Source organism: Homo sapiens, chromosome 4 (genome assembly GCF_000001405.40).
Source record: "Homo sapiens chromosome 4, GRCh38.p14 Primary Assembly".
Taxonomy (NCBI): Eukaryota; Metazoa; Chordata; class Mammalia; order Primates; family Hominidae; genus Homo; species Homo sapiens.
In genome coordinates this window covers 10,649,857-10,677,464 of record NC_000004.12, presented here as the reverse complement: position 1 = coordinate 10,677,464, position 27,608 = coordinate 10,649,857, and the positions used below count along the sequence as shown (strand labels likewise).

Here is a 27,608-nt window from a genome sequence, read left to right as displayed (position 1 = left end):
CTAAGTTGTATTACTCTTTTCCAGTCTTGTTTAGACTACCTGGGCTTTTGTGTTTCTCCTTTGGATTTTAAATTTCCCTCACAAATTTTTCAGGCTCTCCTGATCATAAAACAGCTCCTCAGAAAATCACCAGCATACATCAGGTGCTTAATAAATGAATGTTGAAAAAAATTACAGTGTTTTTGCCATTAGCCTTTAGACGTCCATGGGAATGGTGGGGTTTACTGGATCTATCTTCACCCTTATCTTCACCGCAGGGCCAACCTGTAAATGGTGGTAAATATATAGCAATCCCTAAATCTTAGTTTATTTTCTTATACTTTTTTTCCTCTAAAATTTGCCTTCAGTACCATCTCAATGCATTAATCAAGCAATGGAGAAACAATCACAGTTGGGTAAGTTCTGATTTAATCCAGGCCTAGAAGTGCCTGCCTCTAATCAATGTGGTTCTGCCATCATTTATGGAAGCCAAAAAAAAAAAAAATAGGGGCGAGACAGAGGTAAACTTAAAAATAATAAAATAAAATATCTGTTAGGATTTTGGCAAACTTGGAGACTATTTTTCTACAATCTCACTTTACGTGAACAGTAAAAATCACTTTAATAATAAGAGCAGAGAGAAGGAAGAGCCAAAGAAAAAAGAAGGAGGAGAAGGAAGAAAAATGAAGGATAGAGGAAGGAAAGGAACATGAGAAAGCTAAATGAACAGGAAAAAGGATAAAAAGTCTATTCACCACAAAGTGGAATAAGAGGAGAGAGAAAGAATCTTACCACTAAAGGAAGGAAACCCTTTCTGCAGAATCAGGCAGCTGAAGAGAAAAAAGGAAATGGTTTTTAAAAACAAAACTCAACAGGAATAATAAATTCAGAAACTATAGATTGCATCAGTTCATTAAGAGTGTTTTCAAAATCATTTAAAATTAAAATGAATGCACAGTCACATTGCCTTGAGATACTCAAGGGAAGTTACTCATTACCAGGACAGTTGCAAAATTTTATAAAAATGTGCCATACATAATAGCAGAAAAACTAGGAAAGCACTCTCCCTTACCCCTCAAAAAAAAAAAAAAAGAAATCTATAATAACAATGCATTTGACTTCAAAGGCCTCCACTCAATGGAAATCCAATAAAATTAAATGTTATATTTAATTAAATTGAGCTGATTGATCTGACTGGGGTATAGAATTAGAAATCCAATCAGCATATATTTTCCTCTAAGTATGAGCATCTCTAAAATGTAACTTTCTCATTTTTGATATGAAAATTAAAGAAAATACATATAACTCTGAATTGGAACCAAATTAATATCATCTGTATCTGAGAAATCTTGATTTCGACATGTTTACTCAAAGCTCCTATGTGTGTGCAAACACACACACACATAGACACACACACACACACACACACACACACACACTCTTCTGGCTCTCTTCTCCAAATATACACACATGCTCCCTTTCTCAATTCCAAAAATCATTCACCATTTTGGATATGTGTGATGTGATTGTGCAGAAAAAGTCAGATGTGTATTGTGTGGGTTTTATATTCTTTTCCTTTTTTCCTGTTTTAATGATAAAAGAAAGCCTTAAGCCTTAATATAGACCTTATTCTTGAGCCTTGACCCAGTTTTAATTGCACAACTACCTCCTACCTTCTCGATTCATTCAAAGCTTTTCTTTAGCCGTTCACAGTTTGCTTTTGGTCATTTCCTATATCTAGAAGGTATCTTGTAGATATTATTAGAATGACATTTCCTAAGCTTTTAAATAAATAGAGGCCAGTATTTTCATAAGCATTATCTTCTAGGAATAAATAACTAATGTTTGGGAACAAAACAATTTCTTTACCCTAAAAGCATTTTTTTCTTCATGAAATATTAATTTTGGATCAGGTGAAATGCAGCAGCAATATTTATGATAAATGTCTCTTTGCAAGCTCAGTTTGGTAGTACTGGTGAATTCCCAGTGGAGAACAAGAGTTCTCAAGGGTAACAAGGAAATGCGATTGTTGCATTACATATTTCTAATTGTTTAAACTGCTTGTGATACCATAAGGATATTAATTATTTTTGAATTAAGACACGTGAAAATCCAGCCTATTTATAAAACAAGTCTCTGCTTCTTAAAACATTCACTCAGACCCCAGGTGGGTTCTGAGCTCAGAAGCAGGCATCCTGGTTTTAGTGCCCAAATCGAATGTATGTTCTTTGGAAATCTTATAGATACTTTCATCTGCAGAACCCTGTTTTCTTTATTTTAGTTTTCTAAAATATAGGTGTGATTCTTTAACCCTCAAATCCATTATCTTTTATTTCATGCTTTAAGTTCTGGGATACATGTGCAGAACCTGCAGGTTTGTTACGTAGGTAAACATGTGCCATGGTGGTTTGCTGCATCCATCCAACCCATCATCTAGGTTTTAAGCCCCACATGCTTTGTCCTAATTAGGTATTTGTCCTAATGCTCTCCCTCCCCTTGCCCCAAACCCCCCAACAGGCCCCAGTGTGTGATGTTCCCCTCCCTGTGTCCATGTATTCTCATGAACATGAACACGGATGAAGCTGGAGGCCATCATTCTTAGCAAACTGACACAGGAACAGAAAACCAAACACCACATGTTCTTACTCATAAATGGGGGTTGAACAATGAAATCAAATCCGTTATCTTTACAAAGCATTTTCAAACCACAAATTACTTAATGAGCTAATCAAATATAATCATTGAGACCATCCGCCCCAAAGCTGTGGGGTTGTTTGGTCCAAATAGATGGTTGAGGCAGGGGTCTCTCCACTCAGGATGTGAACCACCCTGTGCACCTCTCTTTGACATGGTCCCCTTTATACCTGGAGGAGAGTACAGTGAGCCCCGTAGGGAGACAACACACACTATTTCTCAAACTGGGGTTCATTTTGGATCCCCAAAGAGTTCCAGGTCAGGGTTAATAAATTATATGGGAACTGTATTAATGAAATGAAAGCACAGAGTTCCAACCCAAAGTAAATTCATTATGAGCATATTCTGGCCCTTTTGCCTAGGCTTTAAGCCCTGGTATACACTCAGGCAATTTTATTGCCCATGTTGGCATTTGCAATTAGATTTGCATTGGCGTCTAGCACTCAGTACAGTGGTGTTTTTTCTTGTTGGAGAAATAAGCTGGCATCATGAAAACAGGCAGCCTCTCCTTGTGGACTCCTGGAGGACCCTGGGCTCCTTTGTACCTCCACACTGCTCCACCCAACACGTCTCCTTCTGCCTGGTCCCTCCCTGACAGTGAGTCCCTGAAAGTAGGGTGTGGTCTCCTCTTGATACCTTCAGAGCTTCCTTCAGCTTCCCCACAGCAGAGTCGACTCTGGACCTATTAATATCACCCATGCCAAGTGCCCTGCTGTGACTCCGGGTTCCACAAGCAAAACTGACAGATGACACCTCAGTGTCATTCCTTTGACAGAGAGAGCTATGCATGGGCTTTATTTCTGTGGCTAACCAGGAAGAGAAACTGAAATAATTGCTACAGAAAGTGAATGCACACACACCATGAGTTGTGCTCCATTTCTGGGGCATTCCAGCTTCTCAAGGTCTCCGAATCAAGGCAAGAAGATGTTGCATACTCTTTGATCTGGGTCAGATCTTGAAGTAAGACCTGTTGGAGAAAGACCTGCAAGGCTGACGCTCCACAGCCTACAAGTCCTGCCTCCCCTTCCATTATCATAGTCCATGTGGGAGTTGGGGTTACTTCTTTTTTTATTAACATTAGTTATTTCTCCTAATACTATCACTCCCCCAGACCCCCCACCCCCTGACAGGCCCCAGTGTGTGATGTTCCCCTCCCTGTGTCCATATGTTCTCATTGTTCAACTACCACCTGTGAGTGCGGACATGCAGTGTTTGGTTTTCTGTCCTTGCAATAGTTTGCTGAGAATGATGGTTTCCAGCTTCATCCATGTCCCTGTAAAGGACATGAACTCATCCTTTTTTATGGCTGCATAGTATTCCATGGTGTATATGTGCCACATTTTATTAATCCAGTCTATCACTGATGGACATTTGTCCTATTCAACGTAGTGTTGGAAGTTCTGTCCAGGGCAATCAGGCAAGAGAAGGGGAGTTGGGGTTACTTCTGAGGGGAGTTGTGGTGAAGCTGGGTAAGAACCTGTTCCATAGAAAGCTGTGTAGATCCCTCTGGGGCATATTTTTCCCTGTGTTCCCATAATACCTTATGCTCTATGCTCTCTAATTCCTAGGATCTGGAACGTGACTGGCACATTGTAAAGCCTCATAAATAGTTGCAGATACAGTAGTAAACTCTACCCTGTACAATTGCAAGAGCCTGGACTTTACTTCTTCACTGCCTATAAATAAGACCTGAGAGAGAAATTGATGCTTGACATGATTAGAAAACTTTTCCATGATCAAATTGTTAAAATCTTTGGATGTGATAGGTTTTTTAAAAACATTCCGCTAAAAATTGACTCAGAAATAATTCTAAGTGTATGGAGGATTATTTACAAGCAGTGCCAGTTCCTAAATGTCTATTTAAGATGTGTTTGGAACAGCAAGGTGAATGAACATGTGATTATTTGGTGCTTTCCATAAGAATGAGAAAAATCGGTGTGTTCACTGACAAGCTGCCAGTCAGTGGTGCTGGGTAGATGGAGATGGGAATAGACTGACACTCAAGTCCACTCCCTTCTGCCTCCCTGCCTGTTAAAATATCTGGGACATTTAGACAATGTCCATACCTGGGCTTTTCCCTAAAACAATTGAATCAAACTTTCTGGGACATTATATTTTTTAAGGTTTCCAGATAATTCCAAAGCATAGGCGGGTACAAGATTCTATGATTACATCAGTGGTTATTAGCAGATGCTTACCTAAAAATGCTTACCTAAGCATCTTTCATTTCTAACTAAGTGCCACTTTAAGGCACTTAAAGTGATATAAGGCATTTAATTAATCTTCAAGTTCAGATTCATATTAACCACTATTTCCCCCATGTCTTAGATATGGTATTTTTTCATGTAATCTTCATAAGAGTCCTAAGGGTAGCTGTTGTATTACCCGTATTTTACAGATAAGCACACGGAGGCTCAGAATGGTTAAACAGTTGTCCCAAAGCATAACTGTGAGAAACAAACTCACCTGTTCAAACCCAGAGAATGGACTCACAGATCCAGAGAACGCAAAAGTGAGACTTTCAATGGCAGTCTTGCAAGATCCAGTGTCTGGCATGCACTCACACCTAGCACAGTTTCAACAAGCAATTTATCCCATAGTGCGCAGTTCCCTCCCCCACTTCCTCGTAGTCTGAGTACTATGGGGTCACAATCTTCCCTGACATTGCCTATTGATTGTTAGGCAGGAACTTTAGGTGGTTTTTTTAGGGTTGTCTTGGTGCATTTTTGTCGCAGCCCACAATGCATTGCAATCTTAGTTAGCTTAGGGGCTCTTTAAGTATTTGACTTACGACCTAAGTAGCTGCGTAGGCTGATAAGAAGAGACAAAGCGAGCTATTTTGCGTACTAGCAAACTTTTATCTTAGACTAAGCTTCTTTAGTTCAGGTGAGGGCAACTAAGTTGGGGGGAAGCTGTTTCTTCTATAGTTTGCTGACCTAAGCCAATTCAAGGCACTTCGTCTTGGAAATGGATCAGGGTATACATTATTTCCTTTATAACTAAAACTTGTTTGGTTTTGTATAAAATGAGGATCATAAAACAGACCCTATGAGGTTACTGAGGTGGGGAGATGGGGGATATATAACAGGTGATCTGTGTTCACTGCCTTGTCTTTGAAAATGCACACATGAGGAAGGGAAGGGCCTTGTATTCTCTATAATTTATTACCTTCAAAAAGCCAGGGGACATAAGACTCTTTCTGACTGACTTCACCACATCCTTTGCACGATGGCTAAGATTAGATCAGAGTATGGTGCTTTCAAGGTGTCAGCCATTCTGAGTAGAGCACAGCTGTTTCCCCTGTAGAATGCCATCTCTTCTGTCTTGCTGATGACACTTTGTGGCTAACTCAGTCTCTGGTAAGGGTTGCCAAGGCCTCAAATTCTGCTTTCTTCTTTTTTTTTTTAGATAGAGTTTCACTCTTGTTGCCCAGGCTGGAGTGCAGTGGTGCAATCTTGGCTCACTGCAGCCTCTACCTCCCTGGCTCAAGCAATTCTCCTGCCTCAGCCTCCCTAGTAGCTGGGATTATAGGCGCCCACCACCATACCCAGCTCAGTTTTTGTATTTTTAGTAGAGACGGGTTCCACCATGTTGGCCAGGCTGGCCTCGAACTCCTGGCCTCAGGTGATCCAGTCGCCTCGGCCTCCCAAAATGTTGGGATTACAGGTGTGAGCCACTGCATCTGGCCTCAAATTCTGCTTTTTAAAATGTCAGAAGAGTTTGGGATCTCTCTATAATATTTTTAAACTCTTATACAATAAAGTGCTTGCATCTCTCAAAAGCTACTAATATTTTTAACTTTTATTCAAATTTCAAAATACAAGTCTAATAAGCACTGATATTACCAATCAAATAATATACAGAGGTTTACATATAAGGCAAAAATTAAGGATTCCTCCCTGATCCCTTGCGTTTCCATCCCTGCTATCCTAGGTGTTAGCAATTTGGCAGAATCTCCTGCAATTTGGCTCTGCACAGAGCTCTATTGGAGAAGACAATAAAATATAAGAAATGTAATGACATACTCTAACTTTTGAAACCATTTTTGTCACCAAATATTGATGGATTGTATTTTTTTTTAATGAAACTATTTCCATTTCTTTGAGCTGAAAAAGACCTATTTGGCCTAAGCTGCTCATTTTTCAGGTGAAGAAACGAAAGCCCAGAAAGCTCCAATGCCTTACTCAAAGCTGCACAGTGCATGGCAGGGCTGGGGCTGGAAAGCAGCTTCATTGGCCACCTTGCCAGAACTCTGATTTGAGGCATAAGCCTTGCAGGGAACTGTTCTGCATCTGTGGTCCCCTTACTCTGTACACAAGAACTGGCCAAGATCCAGGCACACAGGGAGCTGTCCGTAAAGACTAGTTTATTTTGTCCCATTTCGATGCTACTTAATGCATTCTGAAGAATGAAGTAGCTGTATAAGCAGCTATCATTAAGTGGTAGATACTCTTAAGGGATGGGGGATGGATTTGTCCTGTATGACTGTAATCAAGTAATTTAATCTCTATAAATACTAATATTCAAAAATTGTCATCAATAACCCCACATACCCAAATATAACATGACTGATGCTAAAGCAACTTGCAAACTTTGCTTTGCTATGCAAGTAATTGCATATCCGTGTTTCATAACATTTCATAGTTTGTAAGACATTTTCATATGTTTCAGTTTATTTCACACTTAAGACATGCTGTAAAAGAAAGATATTGATACTACTATTTATAAACTAGGAGGGTCCAAGTGTTCCTTCAAGGCCACACGGCTAGTTAATGGCAGCACTGGAACTGAACAGAGGTCTCTCAACTTCCAGTCCAGGACCCTTCCAGTATTTGATGTGCATTCTTTGTATTACACTGATGAAAGTTCAAGTCCCCTTCCCCACTGCCATGATGGAAATGACTTCCAAATGAGACCATGGACTAGACACTCTACACACTGCCACAGTGGGCCATCAGTGAATGAAAGCCTAACAGCCGCCTCCCCTTTCCCTGCTGTCAATATTGACCTACAAGCATAAGACGAGGGGATGAGGCTGGTGGGTGAGGGCAGAGGAAAATACACAGGGTATCAGAGGACATAGAGCTTGGTTCAAGTTCTTTAGTATGGGTTATGAGTATGGGTTGAAGATCACACAGTTGAAGTTCAGATCCCATCCCTTAGCATGCATGATCCTTGATCATCTCAATCCAAGGGACCTTCCCTCATTCTTTTTCATGTACTACCAACATCCCAGCTACCAACCCTTCCAGTTTCACCAAAATGTGCAAAGCCACTCTGGCACAATATACATTGTAACATCTTCACACCTTTGCGCATGATGCTCCATTTGCTTGGAACACCTCCCTTAATTTTGAGCCCAGAAGACCCAGACTTACCTGGCAAGACAAAGCTCAAGTATTATCTCCTCTATGAAGATCACCCTGGCTGGCTCTCCAAGACAGAGTTAGGATTTGTTATGTTTTGTTTTACAATTATCTGTTTTTTGCAAAACATTTTAATAAGAGGAGGGATGTCACGGAGGGATGCAGGAACTATACTATACTTAGTTTTAGAAGTGGCTTAAGGGCAGGGACTGTGTCTCACTGGGCACAATATTTGCACAAAGTACATTTTCAGTAAATGGTAGTTTCCCAGATGGATGAGTGAATGAATGGATAGATGAATGGCAGAATATACTAAAAATGCCGAAGGCTCAGTGGGGTGCCATATGCTGACAGGTTAGGAAATGGAAATTTCTGGGTCCTCTGGACCTCAGCTCTTATTGCGGGATGGGTGTTCTCGGTCACATAATTAAATCTTCCTGGGTATCATTGTCTAACTGTAAAACCCACTCTCTACCCTATTCCTCTCATCTGGGAGCCCAGGGAAGCTGATAGATATAAAACCATATTAACAGCTCCTCGCCCTTGGCTTTCTGTTGAGTTTGGCCAATGGGAGATGGCATCAGGAGATCCAGGGCAGAGGGAGCGTGAGATGGGGATTTTCATTCCACCCAACACAGCTCCCTCCCTGCAGGTCCCACAACTGAAAGCCACAGCTCCTCTACCCGCAACCCAGAAAGAGAGACCTGTCTCTGTGTCCCAGTGCCTACCTGGTCCCCAAATCCCTCCAAGCCCAGGCATGTGACAGCGCCCTTTTGTTACCACTCCCAGATACTTCACTGTCTTCTGTGGATTCCTTCTACCCTGCCCACACCTTTTAAATGGTCTCTTTATTAAGCTGTTCTCAAATTACCCAATTTGAGAGTGTCATCTGTTTCTTGCTGGAACCTCAGCTGATATCCTTTACACCTCTCAGGGCCTTTGAGTAGATTATATGAGATCATTGATACGAAGCCCTTACTGAATACTCCCAGGGTCTCTGCTGCTAATTTATATGGTAAATAACACTAATAATCTTTACTATGTGGGTGAATACAAGGCTCAAATAAAATGTTGCATTCTACGTAAAGTGATATAGAACTGTAACTTGCAATAAATATTTTATGGTAAAGCCACATTTGGAAATGAAAAGCACCCTTTCTGCATGCTCTGGCTCAGAGGAGAGCCAGCCAAGCCTGGCTAACGTGCCCTCGGTGCCCAGGGGAAGCACACAATTGCACGCCAGGGAAAACCAGGCTCAGTTTATGTTTGCTCAGCTCCCGGGGGCAGATGGGATGAATGCTGACAGAAAGAGGACAGCCTGTCAGAGAAAGAAATCCCCTCCCCAACTGTGTTCCAGAAATAAGCCAATTCTTGACCTGGATTGATTCTCTTTCTGTCATTTCCTTTAAACCAGCACCTGTATCCGATTTTAACAAGCAGCAACAGTGGCTTGTTCCCCAGAATTAAAACATGATGTGGAAGTTCCAGTAACGCGTTTGCTTTTGTTTCCACAGGCTGAATTGAAGATCCCTCTTACCCGCCAGGTGCCAAGAACTATGAACAGGCAGTAAGTACCGTGGGATCACTGTGAGCCCCAGTTCCCTTTTCTTGGTGGGGACAGGAGGTGTTTTCTGGAAGATGAACTGAGAAATGATGCCAATGTGGCCGCCCATGGAAAAGGGATTTCCTGAGAGGCCATGGTTGAGATTGTGGGCTTTGGTGTTCAGAACACTCCTCTTTCCAGTAGCAGCATTTTCCCATGGACAGAGCATTTGCTGTCACCCAGCATGGGTGTGTGGTGGGCAGGGACAAGATATCCGAGCACCATGATGCTAGAAGGGCACCCAGACAGTTTCCACCCATGGGTGTGAAGGAATAGGTAAAAGGACAGTGGTTTGTGTGCTTTTTCCCACAGGAGAAAGCCTGGAGTCCAACTTTCTCTTTGTGGACACCAAAAGTGGTGTGGTCAGTCTGAGACACCGAAATTTGTGCCTGATTAAAAAAAAAAATGCCATCCCTGATGTCTATAGTATAGTAAAAAAAAAAAAAAAATTAGCAGGACTCAAAAGTTTAAGAAATATTTATAGTGAAAAAAAAAGACTTTGAAATTGGCAAAGTTTGGTGGACCAGTTTTAAAATTAATCTCCTTATCTATTTATTTGCTTTATTTTACCAGTCAGAAAGGTAGTTTTGTTATTCCTCTTTGGTGTGAAAAGCAGAGTGATAGTATTAGAAAGAGCAGGAGTTTCAGAGTTAGGTAGGCCAGACCTACTTTAACTCCCTTGCCCTGTCATTTTACATCTGTATGATACTGGAGAATGATGATATCCTTACCCTCTGGATATGCAAGAAGTTCCTTAACCCTTTGAAAAGCAGAATCTGACTCAGGGAGGAGGACTGCCTGGTTTCTGGGTGGATGTCCTGATCCTAGCGGGAGGCTAGGGGACTGCAATGACTGTACCTCGCAGGTGGGCACTGGCTGGAGGGCTCTGGTCCAAGAGACAGAGAGAGTAGCAGGTGCTGTGACAGCCCCGGTATCTCAGCTACCCATGGATGCCCACAGGTGTCCAGGTGGAGCCACCTGACTCACAGCCAAGCCCATGGGATGGGAAGGCTGGAGCTTCTGCTCTTCCTCTTGCCATGAAAAGCACAGCAGGAGCTCCCTGGCACGTAGTCCACAGATGGGCTCCTCACCCGAGTGAGAATTAAGCTAATCAAGCATCCCTTCTTTGCCAGGAGTTGTGACCTCCTTTTCCTCCCCGATCCTTACAGCAGGACTGGGTGGCAGGTATTACTAGCTCTTCTTGGAAAATTAGCTTCTTCATCTAAATGACTTGTCTGAGATGGCTCAGAGCATTGAGATGAAGATGGAGCTGGAATTCAAGTCTGTCTGACTCCCAGTTCAGTGCTCCTTCCATTATTCCTTTGACTGTGGGAAATGGAGAAGGCACCAGTAAGGGAGTCAGGGCTGATGTCAATCCAGGTGAGCTGGTTAACCTGTGGTTGCACCACAAAGGGGATGAACTCTCAGACCCAAATTAGCACTGGGGATAAACGTGGCAAATGGCAGTTTCATTATAGGATAGACAAATTGGAGGTTTGTGCTGATGGCATACACAGCACAGCAGGTGTATTAGTGTCCTGGGCTGCTCTAACAAATTACCACCACCTGCATGGATTCAAATACTGGGAATCTATTCACTGATAGTTCTGGGAGCCAGAAATTCGAAATTAAGGGTTCAGCAAGTCCTTTCTCCCTCCAAAGGCTCAAGGGAAGAATACTTCCTGGTCTTGTTCAGCTCCCAGAGGCTCCTGGCTTTCCTTGCCCGTGGCCGCATCACTCTCCTCTCTGCCTCCATTTCACATGACCTTCTCCTCTCTGGCCATATTTTCTTTTCTTCATCTCACCTCAAATCTCCCTCTGGTTGTCTGATATAAAGATATTTGCCATTGGATTTAGGGGTCACCTGGATAGTCAGAAATGATTTCTTATCAAGATCCTTAACTACATCTGCAAAGATGCTTTTCCCAAACAGGGTCACATTCACAAGCGATGGAGATTTGGATGTGGATATGTTGTAGGGCCACCATTCAGTCCAGGGCAGCAGCCTTTATCTTCACACTCACTCCCCTCTTCAGGGGCAACGTGGGATGGCTTTGAAATGTCTGTCAATATTTGCCATGAGCATCTGCTTGGCTTTGCAGCTGAGATTTCCACCCTTTCCGTCTCTGCTTCTGTGCCTTTTTTTTTTTTTTTTTTTTTGAGACGAAGTCTTGCTCTGTCACCAGGCTGTAGTGCAGTGGCATGATCTCAGCTCACTGCAACCTCCAACTCCCTGGTTCAAGTGATTCTCCTACCTCAGACTCCCGAGTAGCTGGGATTACAGGTGTCTACCACCATGCCTGGCTAATTTTTCTATTTTTAGTAGAGACAGGGTTTCACCATGTTAGCCAGGATGGTCTCGGTCTCCTGACCTCATGATCCGCCAGCCTCGGCCTCCCAAAGTGCTGGAATTACAGGCGTGAGCCACCGCGCCCGACTCTATGTCTTTTAATGATTCCACCCTATGCCAAGGGCCTCTTCTGTAAGAGGAGAGGTTTTCCCCTTTTATGAGGACTTTCAGTGGCTTTGTCTTTTAGCCAGGGAGTTGGTCTCTGTTGAACATGGCTTCTCACCAAGCTTTCCAAAGGGAAACTTTGTGATTTCAGCTTTACAGTCACCTTAGATTTGAAGCTGGCAATGCGTAGGCCAGAGGACAGCCAAACCGTCACCATTTCACAAATGTTAGCTTCCTCCCATTAGGATGAGTCCACGGGGAGCCTTCACACTTGACTATCTGACACCTCAACATTAGGAACCTGCCTTGAAGAATAACTCTTCTTCTTTCCTAAAGCTCAGAGCATCCTTTTCCTCCCCTAGTCCCAAACTCTTCTTCACTCTTTCCTCTTGTGCACCCTCAGGCCAGTCAATCCGTATGGGATTGCTGCTGGCCTGCCCCAAAGTAAAAAGTAAATATTAAAATTAGAACGCCTCCATCAGTACGCTTACACATTAAAGAGAAATGCATAAGCTGGCACCACACAAATGAAAGGTAAGATGCCCTAGTACACTCCACATTTTATTCTCCACCTTCGGGTTTCCTGTCCAGGGTGTCCTGAGCTGGGAGATGCTGTTGATCTAAGGGCAGGCTGCACAGCAGCAGTGTCAGCATCACCAGGGAGCTTGTTAGAAACACAGAATCTCAGCTGCTACAGCCCAGCCCAGGCATGCTGAGTCGGAATCCATACTTTTACAAGATCCTCGGTTGATTCTTGGACACATTAAAGCCTGAGAAGTGCTGAACTAGAACAGGAGTTCCCAGCACCGTTTCCTTCCTGGCACACTTGAGAACTTATCCACAGCAGTCGCCAAGGCATGACTCAGAGAAGGAGCCACATGTCAGGCTGGGTGTGAGTGTAGTTTGGAAATGTGTGCCCCCCATCACCACACACACAGAGGTTTTCCTTTTGCTGTGCCTTGTGGGGTAGTTCTCACTTCCTTTGTCAAAATTATTAACCCAGTCAATTCAAGGTAGTAGATTTTAAACCTGAAGGAGCGTTAGAATCATCAGGGAGGCTTTAAACAAAAACAATTTCAGTGTCCTTCCCCAAAGCAAAGAAACCAGAATAGTCAGACATCATTCCTTTTTTTTTTTTACTTGTTAATGCTCAACTGAATGTAATCTACATCCAGTTTTGTGGAATAATGTCTCATAATTCTATAATCTGGAATTTCTTACAATTTTATAACCTGGAATCCTAAGCAGACTTTGTAACTATGACTAATTCCTTACTATCTGCCTTAGTCTTCTCGGGTGGCTATAACAAAATAGCTCAGACTGGGTAACTCAGGAACAACAGAAATTTATTTCTTACAGTTCTGGGAGCTGGGAAGTCCAAGAACATGGGGCTAGCAGATTTAGTGTCTGGTGAGAGTGCTTCCTGATTCATAGACAGCCGTCTGCTTGCTGTGTCTTCACATGGTAAAGAAGGCAAGGAATGTCTCTGGGACCTCTTTTATAAGGGTGCTAATCTCATTTCACGGGAGTTTTGCCCTCTTGGCCTAATCAGCCCCCAAAGGCCCCACCTTTTAATACCCTTACCTTGGTGATTAGCTTTCAACATATGAAGTTAAGGGGTTCACAAACATTTAAATCATAGGACTATCTCTCACTAAGCACTTTTACAATGAAAATTTTATAAGTATAAATGAATGGATGATATAGAAATATATATTGTATATGTACATGTGTATGTGAACCTATGGGTATATATGCATGTATATGTATGCAGACATACAATACAAGCACATGCACACATATGTTTTTATATGATTGTATCAGTTCAGTCAAAAGCATTTATTGAGTATACATAAATCATATACAAATTTATTTATTGAGTATACATTTCACACACCTCATTTATAAAGTTGAATAAGATCTAGTCCCTGCCCTCAAAGAGCATTAGCCATATGTAAAGAGAATTATTTCCGTATTACATAGAGAGTGATGAGAAAACTCCACAAGTACTAAGAAGGGATCCGGATGTCATGATTCTAAATTGCTTCGGAAATTAGCAGGCTATTTTTCATTGACTTTCCCTGCAACAAAACTTGCAGCTTCCCTAGCAATCCATTAAACTTCAGAAAGCCTCATTCCTCGGTGCTATTAGAGAAGAGCAGACAGACCCACTAGCGGCCCCATTACACCGCTGGGGCTAGATAAGGGCATCTTGGGGTTTGGTTTCCAGTACCTCTTCATCATTCTGGACAGGACTGATAAGAACCTTGACGCTGTGGTTCTGAGTGCTTTGGAAGAGACAAAGTCACCTGAGTGATTGCTTCTGGGCTCTTTCCAGTAAGCCAATGCCCTGCACTGGCCACCCAGGCTCTTTTGGGAATTTGGGTGAAAGTCACTCTTGCACATCCCAGATTGGGGATAGATCAGAGAGCAAAGGTCTCCAGAGTGTCCACTTTGAAATAAGGCTTAAGCAGTTATTAAGCTTGTTTTGTTCATTGGTGAAATTGTCTCCAGTATTGACGGAAATTTTAGAAAATATACAAATTACAAAGAAGAATGAAAATTGCCAATTATCCTAACACCCAGCACTAACTTGCTACAGTTGTCTTAGTTTATTTTTCTATATCTATGTGTAATATCTTAAAATTTTAGAAAATCTACTTTTAAAACTCATTGTTTTAAGTCATTCATTTAATAACAATGTTTCCTTTTCTGAACATTGTCTTACATGATTAAATTTTCTTTAAAATCATGGTGTTTTGAGCTATGACTTAAATAAGGTTTCTCACCCCTTCTCCACAATTTCAAAGTCAAAAGGCTTTGAAATACTGAAAGGTTTTTGTAGCTAATTTGACAGCAAAACCTGACATGCAACGAGGTAATGTATGTTCTTCATTAATCCCAATTAATCCAACCATCACATGTTTCACTACAGAAATATTAGCGTGTTTAATAACCAGAGGTTGTTCCAGTGTACAGCACATGCACTGTGTTACTTTTCTAAAATCCACCATATTCTGAATTCCTGGCCCCAGGGGATTTAGATCAAGCATGGCGAACCTGTATTTTATTTGGCAGTTTATTTTATCTTGCCCTTGGTGTTGGACGTTTAAGTTGCTACCTATAGAGTTTTATGAGGCAGTTTTATCACCAAGATTAAACTTAACACTATATACTCTAGGAGTATTAGAGCAGACGGTGTTGTGATGCTCCCCAGCAGACAACACTGTGTATGCTGCATACATTATGTAACTCTACCATAATAGTCTAATATTATGTAGGAACACAAGTTCATACTATCTAGTAATAACCTAGCAGTTCTTTTCTTGCATAGGGAATATGTATTTCCTATTTGCTTGTTTTGGAAAGAGTTTTGATGGTAAACAAAACAATAAAATAGAGATAGATATTTAGAGGTGGAGAGATTCGTAGAGGTATAGAATTCTACCTTCCACACATGGTTATAATTTCCTTAGCAATAGCTGTGTGAGACAGAATTGAGAATCTTCTCAAACACTCTTCTGGATAAAGAGCTGATTACCTTCTGAGCCTATGACTTAGGAAACAGCAAGAAAATTCCTCTTTGTATTGACATCAACAAAGTCACCTTCAAGTCAATGTTAATCATTGACATTTTGCATTTTCCTAAGCAAAAATAGTGATATTTCTCTGCAATACTTTTCTCACTTGAATGCAGTGTCTAGTTTTAAGACTGAAAGAGTAAAAATGATACAAAAATTGTTTACCCTCCCTGACACGCCAGGCACTGTGCTAGTCATTCTCCATGAGGATCTATGTCATACTTTCTGATGGCTCAGCACTAAAACAGCATTCCATATTGCCACATAAGAACAAGTTTCCCAAATTCAGATTCAGGAATAAAACTGACATATTTCTGACTCCAAAATCCGTGATCTTATATCATAAGACATAGTGATTAAGAACATCATGCTTGTGTATTTCTCATCACGGATACATCACCTGAGTGAATGACTGTTTTGCCCATTAGAGGCATATTTTCTCTTTGAAACCTTGCACAATAAAATGTATTCAGTTCCTAGGTGGTGATGTGTATCAGCTCCTCTTGAGAGGGCTCAATGTCTGGCACACAGGAGCTGCCCAATAGATGATATTTCTCTCGTGTGTATGAATGATAAAACTCCATGTAAACTCCAGATCATTATTTTCCTTCATGACATGTGTGAACAACCCCTGCTTTCGACCTCCAGGGGCACCTTCACTTTGATTTGCAGGAATAAATAAGTGTAAATCCCACTGAATCTAGAGAAAATGAGAACAAGCAATTTTGGCACCCTGAGATCAGAGTCCTACACCCAGCTGTGTAGTCAGTATGGCTGCCCTCCTAGTTACCCAGAAGTAATTATGAACCAACTCTCGGGCCAACTGGGTCTGTCCTCTGATGCTATCAAAGTCATATAGGTAGGATTCAGCTTCGTGGTTGGCTAGTAATTAAAAAGCTGCAAGCTGTGAGGGAACATAGCTGAAATCCAGAGATAGAGTTTGCCAGAGGTTGCAGACATGGCCAGTGATACTTTTGCAGGAGCAGCAGGTGTGGTTGGCTTCGAGACTCAATAAAGATGGTCGGTGATGAGGGAATAGAGGATGTCAAGATAGTCTTCTCTCTCTCTTACTGGCAAGATTACCAGCTGCTGATAGAACTAGTTGACTTAACTAGCTTATCACCACTTGGGAAACTTCCAGCTGAACAAAATCTCCTACTGACTGTCCACAAGGTTAGAGTTTTCATCATTATGGTCTTTGAAAATGTCACAAAGAATAATAAAGGCTCTGATGTACTTAATGCATGAGTTTGTTATCATGTAAGTAATGTAATTCTTTGTAAAACATTTAAGATACAAAAATATATACATAAAGAGAAACTACCACTAAATGAATCATTGAAAAACGGTAAATGGTATTGGATATTTCCTTTTAGGCTTTCCAATAAAACTATCCATTCTATTTTGTTTTTAACTTGAAGTATCATATGTATAATGTCTCCCAATGTTATTACAGTCGTTTTATAGCTATGCAATCTTTCAATCCCTTAGGCATCCCATATTTTATGGTCTTCCACTGCAGGAAAACAACACAACTCATGAACTAATTTGACAAATTCAATTAACATAATCATGCCCAAATATTAAGAGGCTGCATTTTGTTACATGGAAATAAGGAAAAACAATCATCCTAGGAAATATTGTGAACTAAACCAGTGTTTGGAGAACCTGATCCATGATGATAGTTTATAACAGAATAGTATTTGATTATAAAAACATACAGAGAAATCAGTAATAAAGTCCAGCATTTATGATTGCTATTTTAGCCATGAAGTCCAAAACACTGGTCATTTGCATGTCTATAATTTGCATTGGCCCAACATTCCCCTACAGATGAGACATAAGAAAGGAGAAAACTTGACTTCAGGAAAATTTTGTTAAGTTCAAGTACACCTGACAGTAAAATTGTAAAATGATTGCCAAAAGTTTTTAATTAATATGATTTGGGACCAATATCAGGAAGTCCTAGAAAATGTATCCCTTGGAAAGGAAAAAAAAAGGAATTCCTGGAGATCTAGATGTGTAAAATTTCAGAATTCCTGGTAAAGAGAGATCAGGTCACAAATAAGAGGAAAGAAGTACTTGCCATAAGCCAGATATCAGTTGCCTCCAGCTTGGTTCTTCATTCTTGACTTCCATTCTTCTCTGTATTTTTTATGGGGGTGGGGAGGATTTTTTCTGAGAGAGGTTAGAAAGGATTCTGTTGAGGTAATCCGTGAAAGGAGATGATAAAGTCAAATATTTATCTGTCTCCCATACTGGGGAGAACAAATACTTCAATAGAAGTATAGCTCTGCAATAATCCAACAGAAATATTGGTTGGCCATGTGCCAACAGAGCCGTGACATTTTAGGAACTTAGCCTCCCTGAGTCTCATTTTCTTTATTAAATGAAATCGTTATAGTAACTATCTCAAAGGGTTGTTGAGAAAGTTAAGCGACTTAATGTATACAGTGTGTGTAGCACCGTGTCTGGTACATAGGGAGCATGCCATAGGCGCTGTAGCCAATTGAATCAGGTTGCTGCAAAAGTAATCACACTTTTAGCAATTACCATTTTTTTGTGTGTTACGTTTTGTTTTCTTTGAGACAGAGTTTCGCTCTTGTTTCCCAGGCTGTAGTGCAGTAGCACGATCTCAGCTCATTGCAACCTTCTCCCGGGTTCAAGAAAGTCTCCTGCCTCAGCCTCCTGAGTAGCTGGGATTACAGGTGCCTACCACCATGCCCAGCTCATTTTTTGTATTTTCTGTAGACACGGGGTTTCACCATGTTGGCTGGGTTGGTCTCAAACTCCTGACCTCAGGTAATCCACCCGCCTCACCTCCCAAATTGGCAATTTCTTTTAATAGCAAAAACTGTGATTACATTTACACCAATCTAATACTTTCCAAAGATGGCTACAACAACGTATCCCACCCCACATGCTTTTCTGCAGTGTATGCTGACACTTCCCATTCAAGGGTGAATCTATTTCTCCACCTCCCTTAACTTGCATGGGCCTACAGCAGTTTTGACCAACAGAGTGTGACAGAAGGGACACTGTGTCGGGTCCGTGCATAGTCTTTAACAGTCTGGCCAGCTCTGCTTCCTGCCTTTAGAAGCCACCTTCCTCCAAAGTCATATGCTATGGCCGCTCTACTGTAGACACCCAAGCCTTGCGGAGAAGCCCTGGGGAGACACCCTTTGGGGAGATAGGGAGGCTGGGGCACTAGGCACCCGCCTTGAGAACCAGGGATCCAGTCTGGGCGTTCAGCTCAGTTCAGCCCTGAAATAACCATCTGAATGAAACAGCACCAGAGACCCCTAGAGGAAACCCCCCAGCTGAGAACCAGGAGAGATAAAAACAAACCGTCGTTTTAAGCTACTGTTTTGGAGTGGTGTGTTAGGCAGCAACAGATGACTGGAACAGATACTGTCGGCTGGCTATATCATCATCACAATCATTGCTTCATGCAAGGGCCTTTGCTGTTAGATATTCAGGATACAATTTAAAGATTCATAGGACCTGATATTCCACCATGAAGAACATTCATTGTAAGTGAGAATAATAATAAATCAGCAAGTGATAGTGGGTGAGCAGGATGCTAATAAGAGGTCCTCTGTTCTGAGTGTGTGCAAAGTGCTAAGAGGACACAGAGGAGTGAGTGGTTATTCTACTTGGAGCAAATCCTGGGAAGGGGTGTGGTGGCATTAGAGGAGACATCCTCACAGAGGCAGTGACGTGAGCTGACCTTGAGGAACAATGGGATGTTACCAAGCAGCAAATGGAGGAGACAGTGGGGATAGATTTCCTCAAGTAATTACAGCAGCTGGAGAACTTCTACCCAGATTTAATGTAAAGAATAACATTAAGACTGATAATTTGACTTCTGTTGCTCAAAAGCTGATTCTAAGTAATTGGAAAGATAATTTGACTACTTAGGATAGATGGTGGAATTTGATTTTTCATATCTCTCGATTGGCGGGGAGAAGAAGAAGCTGCAGTGCAAAATCAGAAGGAGAATAAAGGCCTGAATCTGGCTGACAATTTTTAAAATCCTGTGTTGGCCGTCTGGATTCTGCTGCCCTGAAATGCCTCCTTTTGGGTAGGCTGCAATTAGAGGCATTTGTGCTGCCATTTGTTCCCATTGTTGTCTGTTTGAACAAAAATTCTGTGAATAACGGAAATTATACATCCAGTTCATCTTCTGTAGATTTTTCTAAGAACTCTATCTGCAAAGATTCGAGGAGTTTTATGATGAAGAAACATGAAGTATTTCTCTACCATCTTTGTCAAGGTTTCATTTTCTCTTTTAATGTTTTCAATTGCTTTAAATGTTGATTAGATACAAAGGAATACTTATAAAATATGCATAAGGCATAAAGAACAATAAAACATATTAGATATGTGTATGCATTCTCAGTTTTTATGAATTACCATTAATTCTGATGTTTTCATTCCTCCTTTCATGTTCACAACTCCTCACCCCTAACAAGCAAAAACTATCCTGAAGTGTGGGTTAATCATTCACTTGCTTTTATCTTTAGTTTATATCATTATAAATACTTTGGTTTTGCTGGGTTTTGAGATTCCTGCCAAAAGAATCATGTTACAGATTTTATCTTGCACCCAGACTGCCGAGTTTTGATAACTGGTTCTACCAGTTACGAGCTATGAGTTCTTGAGAAAGTTAAGAAGTCTCAGTACCTGTTTTGTCATCTGCAAAATTAAAATAATAATAGTGTGTACTTTGTAGTATTCTTGTGAGAATTAAATGAGCTAATTTGTATAAGACATTTAAAACAGCATCTAGAACATAATGTGAGCTATGTAAATCTTAGTTCTGATTGTTCTATAGTCTGTTTTATGACTGCCCCAATGTACATTCCAAAGATAATCCATGCTATTGTGGATAGCCATATTTATTTCCATTTTATGGAAATATAATATTTTTATGTGCATATAATACCATTTATTTATACACTCTCCAGTCAATAGACACTTGAGTTGTTTCCTAAATATTGCTAATACAAGTGCTGTTAAGAACAATCCAGTTTACATGTCCTAAAGCATAGATTCAGGAGTATCTGTACAGAAGGTATATTCCTAGGACTGAAATTTCTGAGACTCAGCGTATGCACACCTCTGATTTTACTAGGCGATGTCACAATTACCAAAGCAGCCAGGTCATTTTATGCTTTCTACCCACAAGTGTGCCTATGTGACCCAGTTACTTCATGACTTTGGACAAAGTCATGCCAGTCCTTCCATACTGGCAGTTTTAATTTTTACGAAACCAGTGGGTGATTTTAATCTGTATTTTTTGACTATAGTATAGCTTTAATCTGTATTTTGTTGACTATGGTGTAGCTAAGCATCCTTTCAGATATTTATTAGCCATTAAGCTTTTCTCGTCTGCACACAATGCTTGTCAAATCTTTTGCCAGGCAAAAGATTTTTTTTTTTTTTTTTTTTTGGTCAGGCATTTGTCGTTTTCATATTGATTTGTATGCATTATTTATTTATTCTGCACACTTTTCTCATTTTGTGACTTGAGTTGTTATTCTCTTTTGATATTTCCTTTTGGTGACCGTAATTTCAGGTCAATGAGTCATAGCGAACTTTTCCTTATGATTCATTCATTTTGTGTATTGTTTAAAGAAACTTAACATGAGATCATAGCTTCCTACGTTGAATTCCAAACATCACAAAATCTGCCTTTCACTTTTAAATCTTTAATAGCCTGCAATTGATTAATTTGTGTATAGTGTGGAGGAGTTTGGGGATCTTTTCTTTCTCTCTTTTTCTTTTTCGCATGGATAAACAATTTACCCGGCTCTATATATTAAAAATGCTATCGGCCGGGCGCAGTGGCTCACGCCTGTAATCCCAGCACTTTGGGAGGCCAAAGCGGGCAGATCACGAGGTCAGGAGATCGAGATCATCCTGGCTAACACGGTGAAACCCCATCTCTACTAAAAATACAAAAAACTAGCTGGGCGTGGTGGTGGGTGCCTGTAGTCCGAGCTACTCAGGAGGCTGAGGCAGGAGAATGGCGTGAACCCGGGAGGCTGAGCTTGCAGTGAGCCGAGATCGCACCACTGCACTCCAGCCTGGGCAACAGGGCAAGACTCTGTCTCAAAAAAAAAAAAAAAAAAAAAAAAAAAAAATGCTATCTATCCCTCCTCCACTCATCTGCAATGCCAGCTCTGTCGTAAACCAAGTTTTATTAGGTAGATCTTTTCTAGGTTTTCTTTGCCATGATACATTATCAGCCCCATGTCAATGCACATGTCCTAATTAGTATAACTTTGTTGTAGCTCATGATATCTTGGAATTTATATTCCCCAGCTAGCACTTCAGCAGGACGTTGGCTCTTGAATGTCTGCTCTTTCATGTAAATATAGGATACACACACACACTCTCTCGCTTTCTCTCTCTCTCTCTCTCTCTCTCTCTCTCTCTCTCTCTCTGTCTTTGGGGGTTTTAGGCCGGAATTACTTTGAAATCTACAGATAACTTAGAAGATAAATGACATCTTTATGACGTTGGGTTCTCTAGTTCACGAACATGTTATATATCTCTAGAGAGACCAAGAGACAGAGAGAACTTCTTCAACATAATGCCACAATGTTTCATAATTTTCTTTCCAAAAGACCAGACCTTAACATCTTTTTGAGAAATCCTTTTTTTTTTTTTTTTTTTTCGAGTCGGTGTCTCGTTCTGTCACCCAGACTGGAGTGCAGTGGTGTGATCTCGGCTCACTGCAAGATCAGCCTCCTGGATTCACGCCATTCTCCTGCCTCAGCCTCCCTAGTAGGTGGGACTACAGGCGCTGCCACCGCGCCCAGCTAATTTTTTATATTTTTAGTAGAGACAGATTTCACCTGTGTTAGCCAGGATGATCTCGATCTCCTGACCTAGTGATCCGCCCGCCTCGGCCTCCCAAAGCGCTGGGATTACAGGCATGAGCCACCACGCCTGGCCGAGAAATCATTTTTAGACATTTTACTTATTTTAATGATATTGTAAATGCTAAGATATCAACATTTCATATTTTCATGTCTGTTGGTAGTGTATATTTTTGATGGGATGCAGACAACAGGCTTCCTAAAAGTTTTATCAATTCGAATAATCTGTTTATTCTTTTATGTTTGTTATATAGATAATTATATCATCTATAAGTAATTAAATTTTATTTCTTCCTCTCCATTTCCTTTACATTTTTTTCTTTCTTGCCTGACTACACTGGTTAGGCTAGATTAAAGTGGTGATAGCAGGCACCTGTGTTCTAAATCTTGAGGTAAATGCTCTAATGTTTCACCACAAAATGCAAAGCTTGTTTTCAGGTTTAGGTAGGCTTTGAATATCAGGTTAAAGACTCTAGGTTGCCAAGAGACTTTCTATATATATATATATATATTTAATCAATATATATTTATCTATATATTTAATCAATATTTTCCTTATTTATTAAAGTGATTATATATTTTTCCTTCTGCTTTTGTTAATATAAAGATTTATGTTAATGGGTTTGGTAATGTTAAACGAAACTTGAATTTCTGAGATAAATTCAACTTGGTCATGACATATTATTATTTGTTAGTACATTAGTGCAGTGTTTCATTAATGAGTATTAATGAGAATGGCCTGTAATTTTCTTTCTTTCACTCTCCTTGCTGGTTAGCATCACATTTGTGCTGGCCTCATCAAATGAGTTGCAGTGTATTTCCCAATTTTCCATTCTGGACAAGAGACTATGTAATGGGGAATACGTTGGACCTTTCTCAGCAAACTGATCTTGAATTGGTATTTCCTTGAGGGAAGATTTTCAGCTATTGGTTCAATATCATTGATGGTTATAGAAAGATAGTCAGTTTTACTATTCCCTCATGAGTAATTTTTGTTGCTAGATATTTTTCTACATACGTGTTTGTTCACTAATATTCTTTTACCATTTTAAAGTCTGTTGTGCCTATAATGATGTTCCCTTTTTCAGTTCTTACTTGGTCTGTTGGTGTCTCCACTTTTGTTCCTGATTAAGCTTGCCAAAGGTTAATAAATTTCAGTAGTCCTCTGTATTTTCATTTCATTTTTGATACGAGTAACTTCTTTTTATTATTTCCTTCTGTCTGTGTTCTTGGCAATATGAGTTTGTTATTTCATTGATTCGCCAAATTAGGTGCTTTGTTAATTAAATTTTAGCCATCCTGTTCTACTATAAATATTTCAGTTATGTATTTCTATATTACTGTTAATTTTAAATATTAAATTCCCATTATTATTTATTCTTTGAATTATAATTTGCTGATTTATAAATAAATTCTGGAGCATTTTTACTACCTTGTCACTGATTTCTAACTTAATCATATGGCAGTTGTAAAAAATAGTCTATAAGCTTTATTTTGTGAGTTTTTTTTGAGAGTTTATTTTACGTTCTTTTTTTTTATACTTTAAGTTCTGGAGTACGTGTGCAGAATGTGCAGGTTTGTCTGCACATTTTGTATACCCATGACACATAGGTATACACATGCCATGGTGGTTTGCTGCACCCATCAACCTGTCATCTACATTGGGTATTTCTCCTAATTCTATCCCTCCCCTAGCCCCCCATCTCCTGACAAGCCCCACTGTATGATGTTCACCTCCCTGTGTCCATGTGTTCTCATTGTTCAACTCCCACTTATGAGTGAGAACATGTGTTGTTTGGTTTTCTGTTCTTGTGTTAGTTTGCTGTGAATGATGGTTTCCAGTGTCATCCATGTCCCTGCAAAGGATATGAACTCATCCTTTTTATGGCTGCATAGTATTCCATGGTATATATGTGCCTTATTTTCGTTATCCAGTCTATCATTGATGGGCATTTGGCTTGGTTCCAAGTCTTTGCTGTTGTGAACAGTGCCGCAATAAACATACATGTGCATGTGTCTTTATAGTAGAATGATATAAGGGGCATTTTTTTGCAATATTCCATGTGTGCATGAAAAGAAGGTAGATACCACCATAATTGCATGCAGTGTTATAGAAATATCAACAAGAATTTTGTAAATTATTAAAAGACCAGGCATTAAAAACATTTAAAGTAATTGTGAATTTGTCTGTTTCCTGATAGTTATTTGCAAATACATGTATGATTGAAACAGGATTTTCAAACTATTATTCCCTCCTGGTGAACTAATTTTTATGTTGTAATGTAGTGACCTGCTTGGGAAAAACATCTTTTCCTGAAGAGTTTATTTTGCCTGCCATTAATATAATAACCAAGCAAGCTTCTTTTAGTATTTTAATGCTCCATCTTTTATATCATTTTATATTGACACTTTTCTATTCTTACATTTTTGGTATATATCTTATAAAAAACATACAGAATTTTTAATCTAGTGAAACAGATGTCTTTTTTTTCCTTTTTTTTTTTTTTTTTTTTTTGAGACAGAGTCTTGCTCTGTCACCCAGGCTGGAGTGAAGTGGCGCGATCTCCACTCACTGCAACCTCCACCTGCTGGGTTCAAGTGATTCTCTTGTCTCAGCATCCCAAGTAGCTGGGATTACAGGTGCTCGCCACCATGCCAGGCTAATATTTGTATTTTTTAGTAGAGACAGTGTTTCATCATGTTGGCCAGGCTGGCCTCAAACTCCTAACCTCAGGTGATCCACCCACCTTGGCCTCCCAAAGTGCTGGGATTACAGGCATGAGCTACTGCACCTGGCCTCAAATGTCTTTTAACTAGATAATTTTCTCCATTTACAGTTACTAAAATTACTGACATTTATCTCTAAACTTTATTTTTTGCTTTCTATTTGACCCCCCTTTTTGTTTCTTTTTTTTTGATCTCCTGTTGTTTGTGTGCATATATGTATGTGTATTTTTCTAACTCCATTTTACTTCTATCAGTTTATCTTATGTTTATTATATATTCTATTACTATTTTGTGATTTCCATAGATATTTTAATACACAAGTAAATTATCAACATCTATAGCTAAATGATATATTTACAGTCTTGTAGAGTAATAATGGAACTTTCAACACTTGAATTCTGATCACTCACAATTTATATGCTACTGCTGTCATGAATTTTAATTCTGTTATTAATTAATTTTTTAAAGATTTTTATTATTAATGTTTCAAACAGTCAATACTTTTAAATATTTACCCAAATAGTTAGCATACTCTTTGTCTTTGGTCATATTTTATTTTATTTATTTATTTTTTAAAGCACATGCAACTTTATTCTAAATAAACTGGCAAAGGAAATCATAAATTCAGGCCCCAGTGTGTGATGTTCCCCTCCCTGTGTCCATGTGTTCCCATTGTTCAATTCCCACTTATGAGTGAGAACATACGGAGTTAGGTTTTCTGTTACTGTGTTAGTTTGCTGTGAATGTTTGTTTCCATCTTTATCCATGTCCCTGCAAAGGACATGAGCTCATCCTTTTTTATGGCTGCACAGTATTCCATGGTATGTATGTGCCACATTTTCTTTATCCAGTCTATCATTGATGGGCATTTGGGTTGGTTCCAAGTCTTTGGTATTGTGAATAGTGCTGCAATAAACATATGTGTGCATGTGTCTTGATAGTAGAATGATTTGTAATCCTTTGGGTATATACCCAGTCATGGGATTGCTGGGTCAAATGGTATTTCTGGTTCTAGAACCTTGAGGAATTGCCGTACTGTCTTCCACAATGGTTGAACTAACTTACACTCACCAACAGTGTAAGAGCGTCCCTATTTCTCCACATCCTCTTCAGCATCTGTTCTTTCCTGACTTTTTAATGATCGCCATTCTCACTGATGTGAGATGGTATCACATTATGGTTTTGATTTGCATATCTCTAAGGACCAGTGATGATGAGGTTTTTTTCATGTTTGTTGACCGCATAAATGTCTTCTTTTGAGAAGTGTCTGTTCATATCCTTTACCTACTTTTTCATGAGGTTGTTTGTTTTTTTTTCTTGTAAATTTGTTTAAGTTCCTTGTAGATTCTGGATATTAGCCTTTTGCCAGATGCATAGATTGCAAATTTTATATGTCAAACCTTCCATTGAGGATTGCATTTTTCAGTATGAAGAACAAAATTTGGAATTTTTTTTAAATGAAAGCATATAGTAAGAAAAGACTTTTTAATGCTAAAAAAGCCTTTATTTTCTTACAATGATAACTTCATTAGAATTTATTAGACATATAATTTCAGATTGACAGTTGTTTTCTCTCAGACTCATAAACTTATTTCTTATTCCCTTTGGCAAACAACAGGTATTAATGAAAAATAAAAGCTTTTGAAGGCAATATTTATTTTCTCTCTGGATGCTTTTAAAATCTTCTCTATGTTTTTTGGTTTTCTGTAGTTTTACTATAATATGGATAGATGTGAGTTTTTTCTTATTTAACCTGCTTTGGATACGTTGGATATCCTGATTCTCTATTTTGTTGTTTTTCACTATTTCTCAGTACTCTGTCATTATCTCTTTGAGTATTTTTTCCTCTCATTCTTTCCCATCTTTTTCTGAAACTTTGATTAGATGTATACTAGACCGTCACGTTTTAGCCTTCATCTCCCAACCTTTCATTCAGAGTTTCTATTTCTTCACTCTAGCCTGAATGCTGAATGATGCATTTTAAGGATTTACATATCAGTTAATGAGTTAAGTATCTTTATTTGTGTCTAAACTGTATTAAACCTATAATATAATTTTTTTCACAAATCTACTTGATCATTTTTATGTCTCATTTTTATTTTTTATATGAAAGTTCCTTTTCCTTAGTTAAACATAATATGTACACTTTGTTCATGTGTCCACTAATGGATATATGGCTGTAACATTTGTCCACTAGTTTTAATATCTAGACTGAACAGCTAATCCTGTTGTCTGTCATTTCTTCTAGTTCTCACTTTGCTGCTGTTATCTGAAGCATTTTTTTTTTTATTTTGTCTGCCTGCTCATATTTCT

At 39.5% G+C, this 27,608-nt stretch overlaps 1 protein-coding gene across 3 annotated transcripts in view, besides 3 other annotated features; it reads left to right on the top strand.

The window, feature by feature from the left end:
• The window catches only part of CLNK (cytokine dependent hematopoietic cell linker), a 248,452-nt gene that overhangs the window by 57,382 nt on the left and 163,462 nt on the right, over window positions 1–27,608 (top strand). For all 3 annotated transcript variants that reach the window (XM_011513775.3, NM_052964.4, XM_017007684.2), the window contains exon 2: window positions 9,554–9,606. In XM_011513775.3, the coding sequence (XP_011512077.1) occupies window positions 9,554–9,606 (53 nt within the window). The remainder of the gene's footprint in view (window positions 1–9,553; window positions 9,607–27,608) is intronic.
• Window positions 3,170–3,239: an enhancer, noted in NCBI's record as "active region_21316". NCBI's record gives its function as "activates an Ori minimal core promoter by ATAC-STARR-seq in GM12878 lymphoblastoid cells {active_cell/tissue: GM12878}" and the evidence as "EXISTENCE:reporter gene assay evidence [ECO:0000049][PMID:35858748]".
• Window positions 6,048–6,157: an enhancer, noted in NCBI's record as "active region_21315". NCBI's record gives its function as "activates an Ori minimal core promoter by ATAC-STARR-seq in GM12878 lymphoblastoid cells {active_cell/tissue: GM12878}" and the evidence as "EXISTENCE:reporter gene assay evidence [ECO:0000049][PMID:35858748]".
• Window positions 14,188–14,365: a silencer, noted in NCBI's record as "fragment chr4:10664724-10664901 (GRCh37/hg19 assembly coordinates)". NCBI's record gives its function as "represses an EF-1alpha promoter that drives an FKBP-Casp9 reporter gene in an ReSE screen in K562 erythroleukemia cells {active_cell/tissue: K562}" and the evidence as "EXISTENCE:reporter gene assay evidence [ECO:0000049][PMID:32094911]".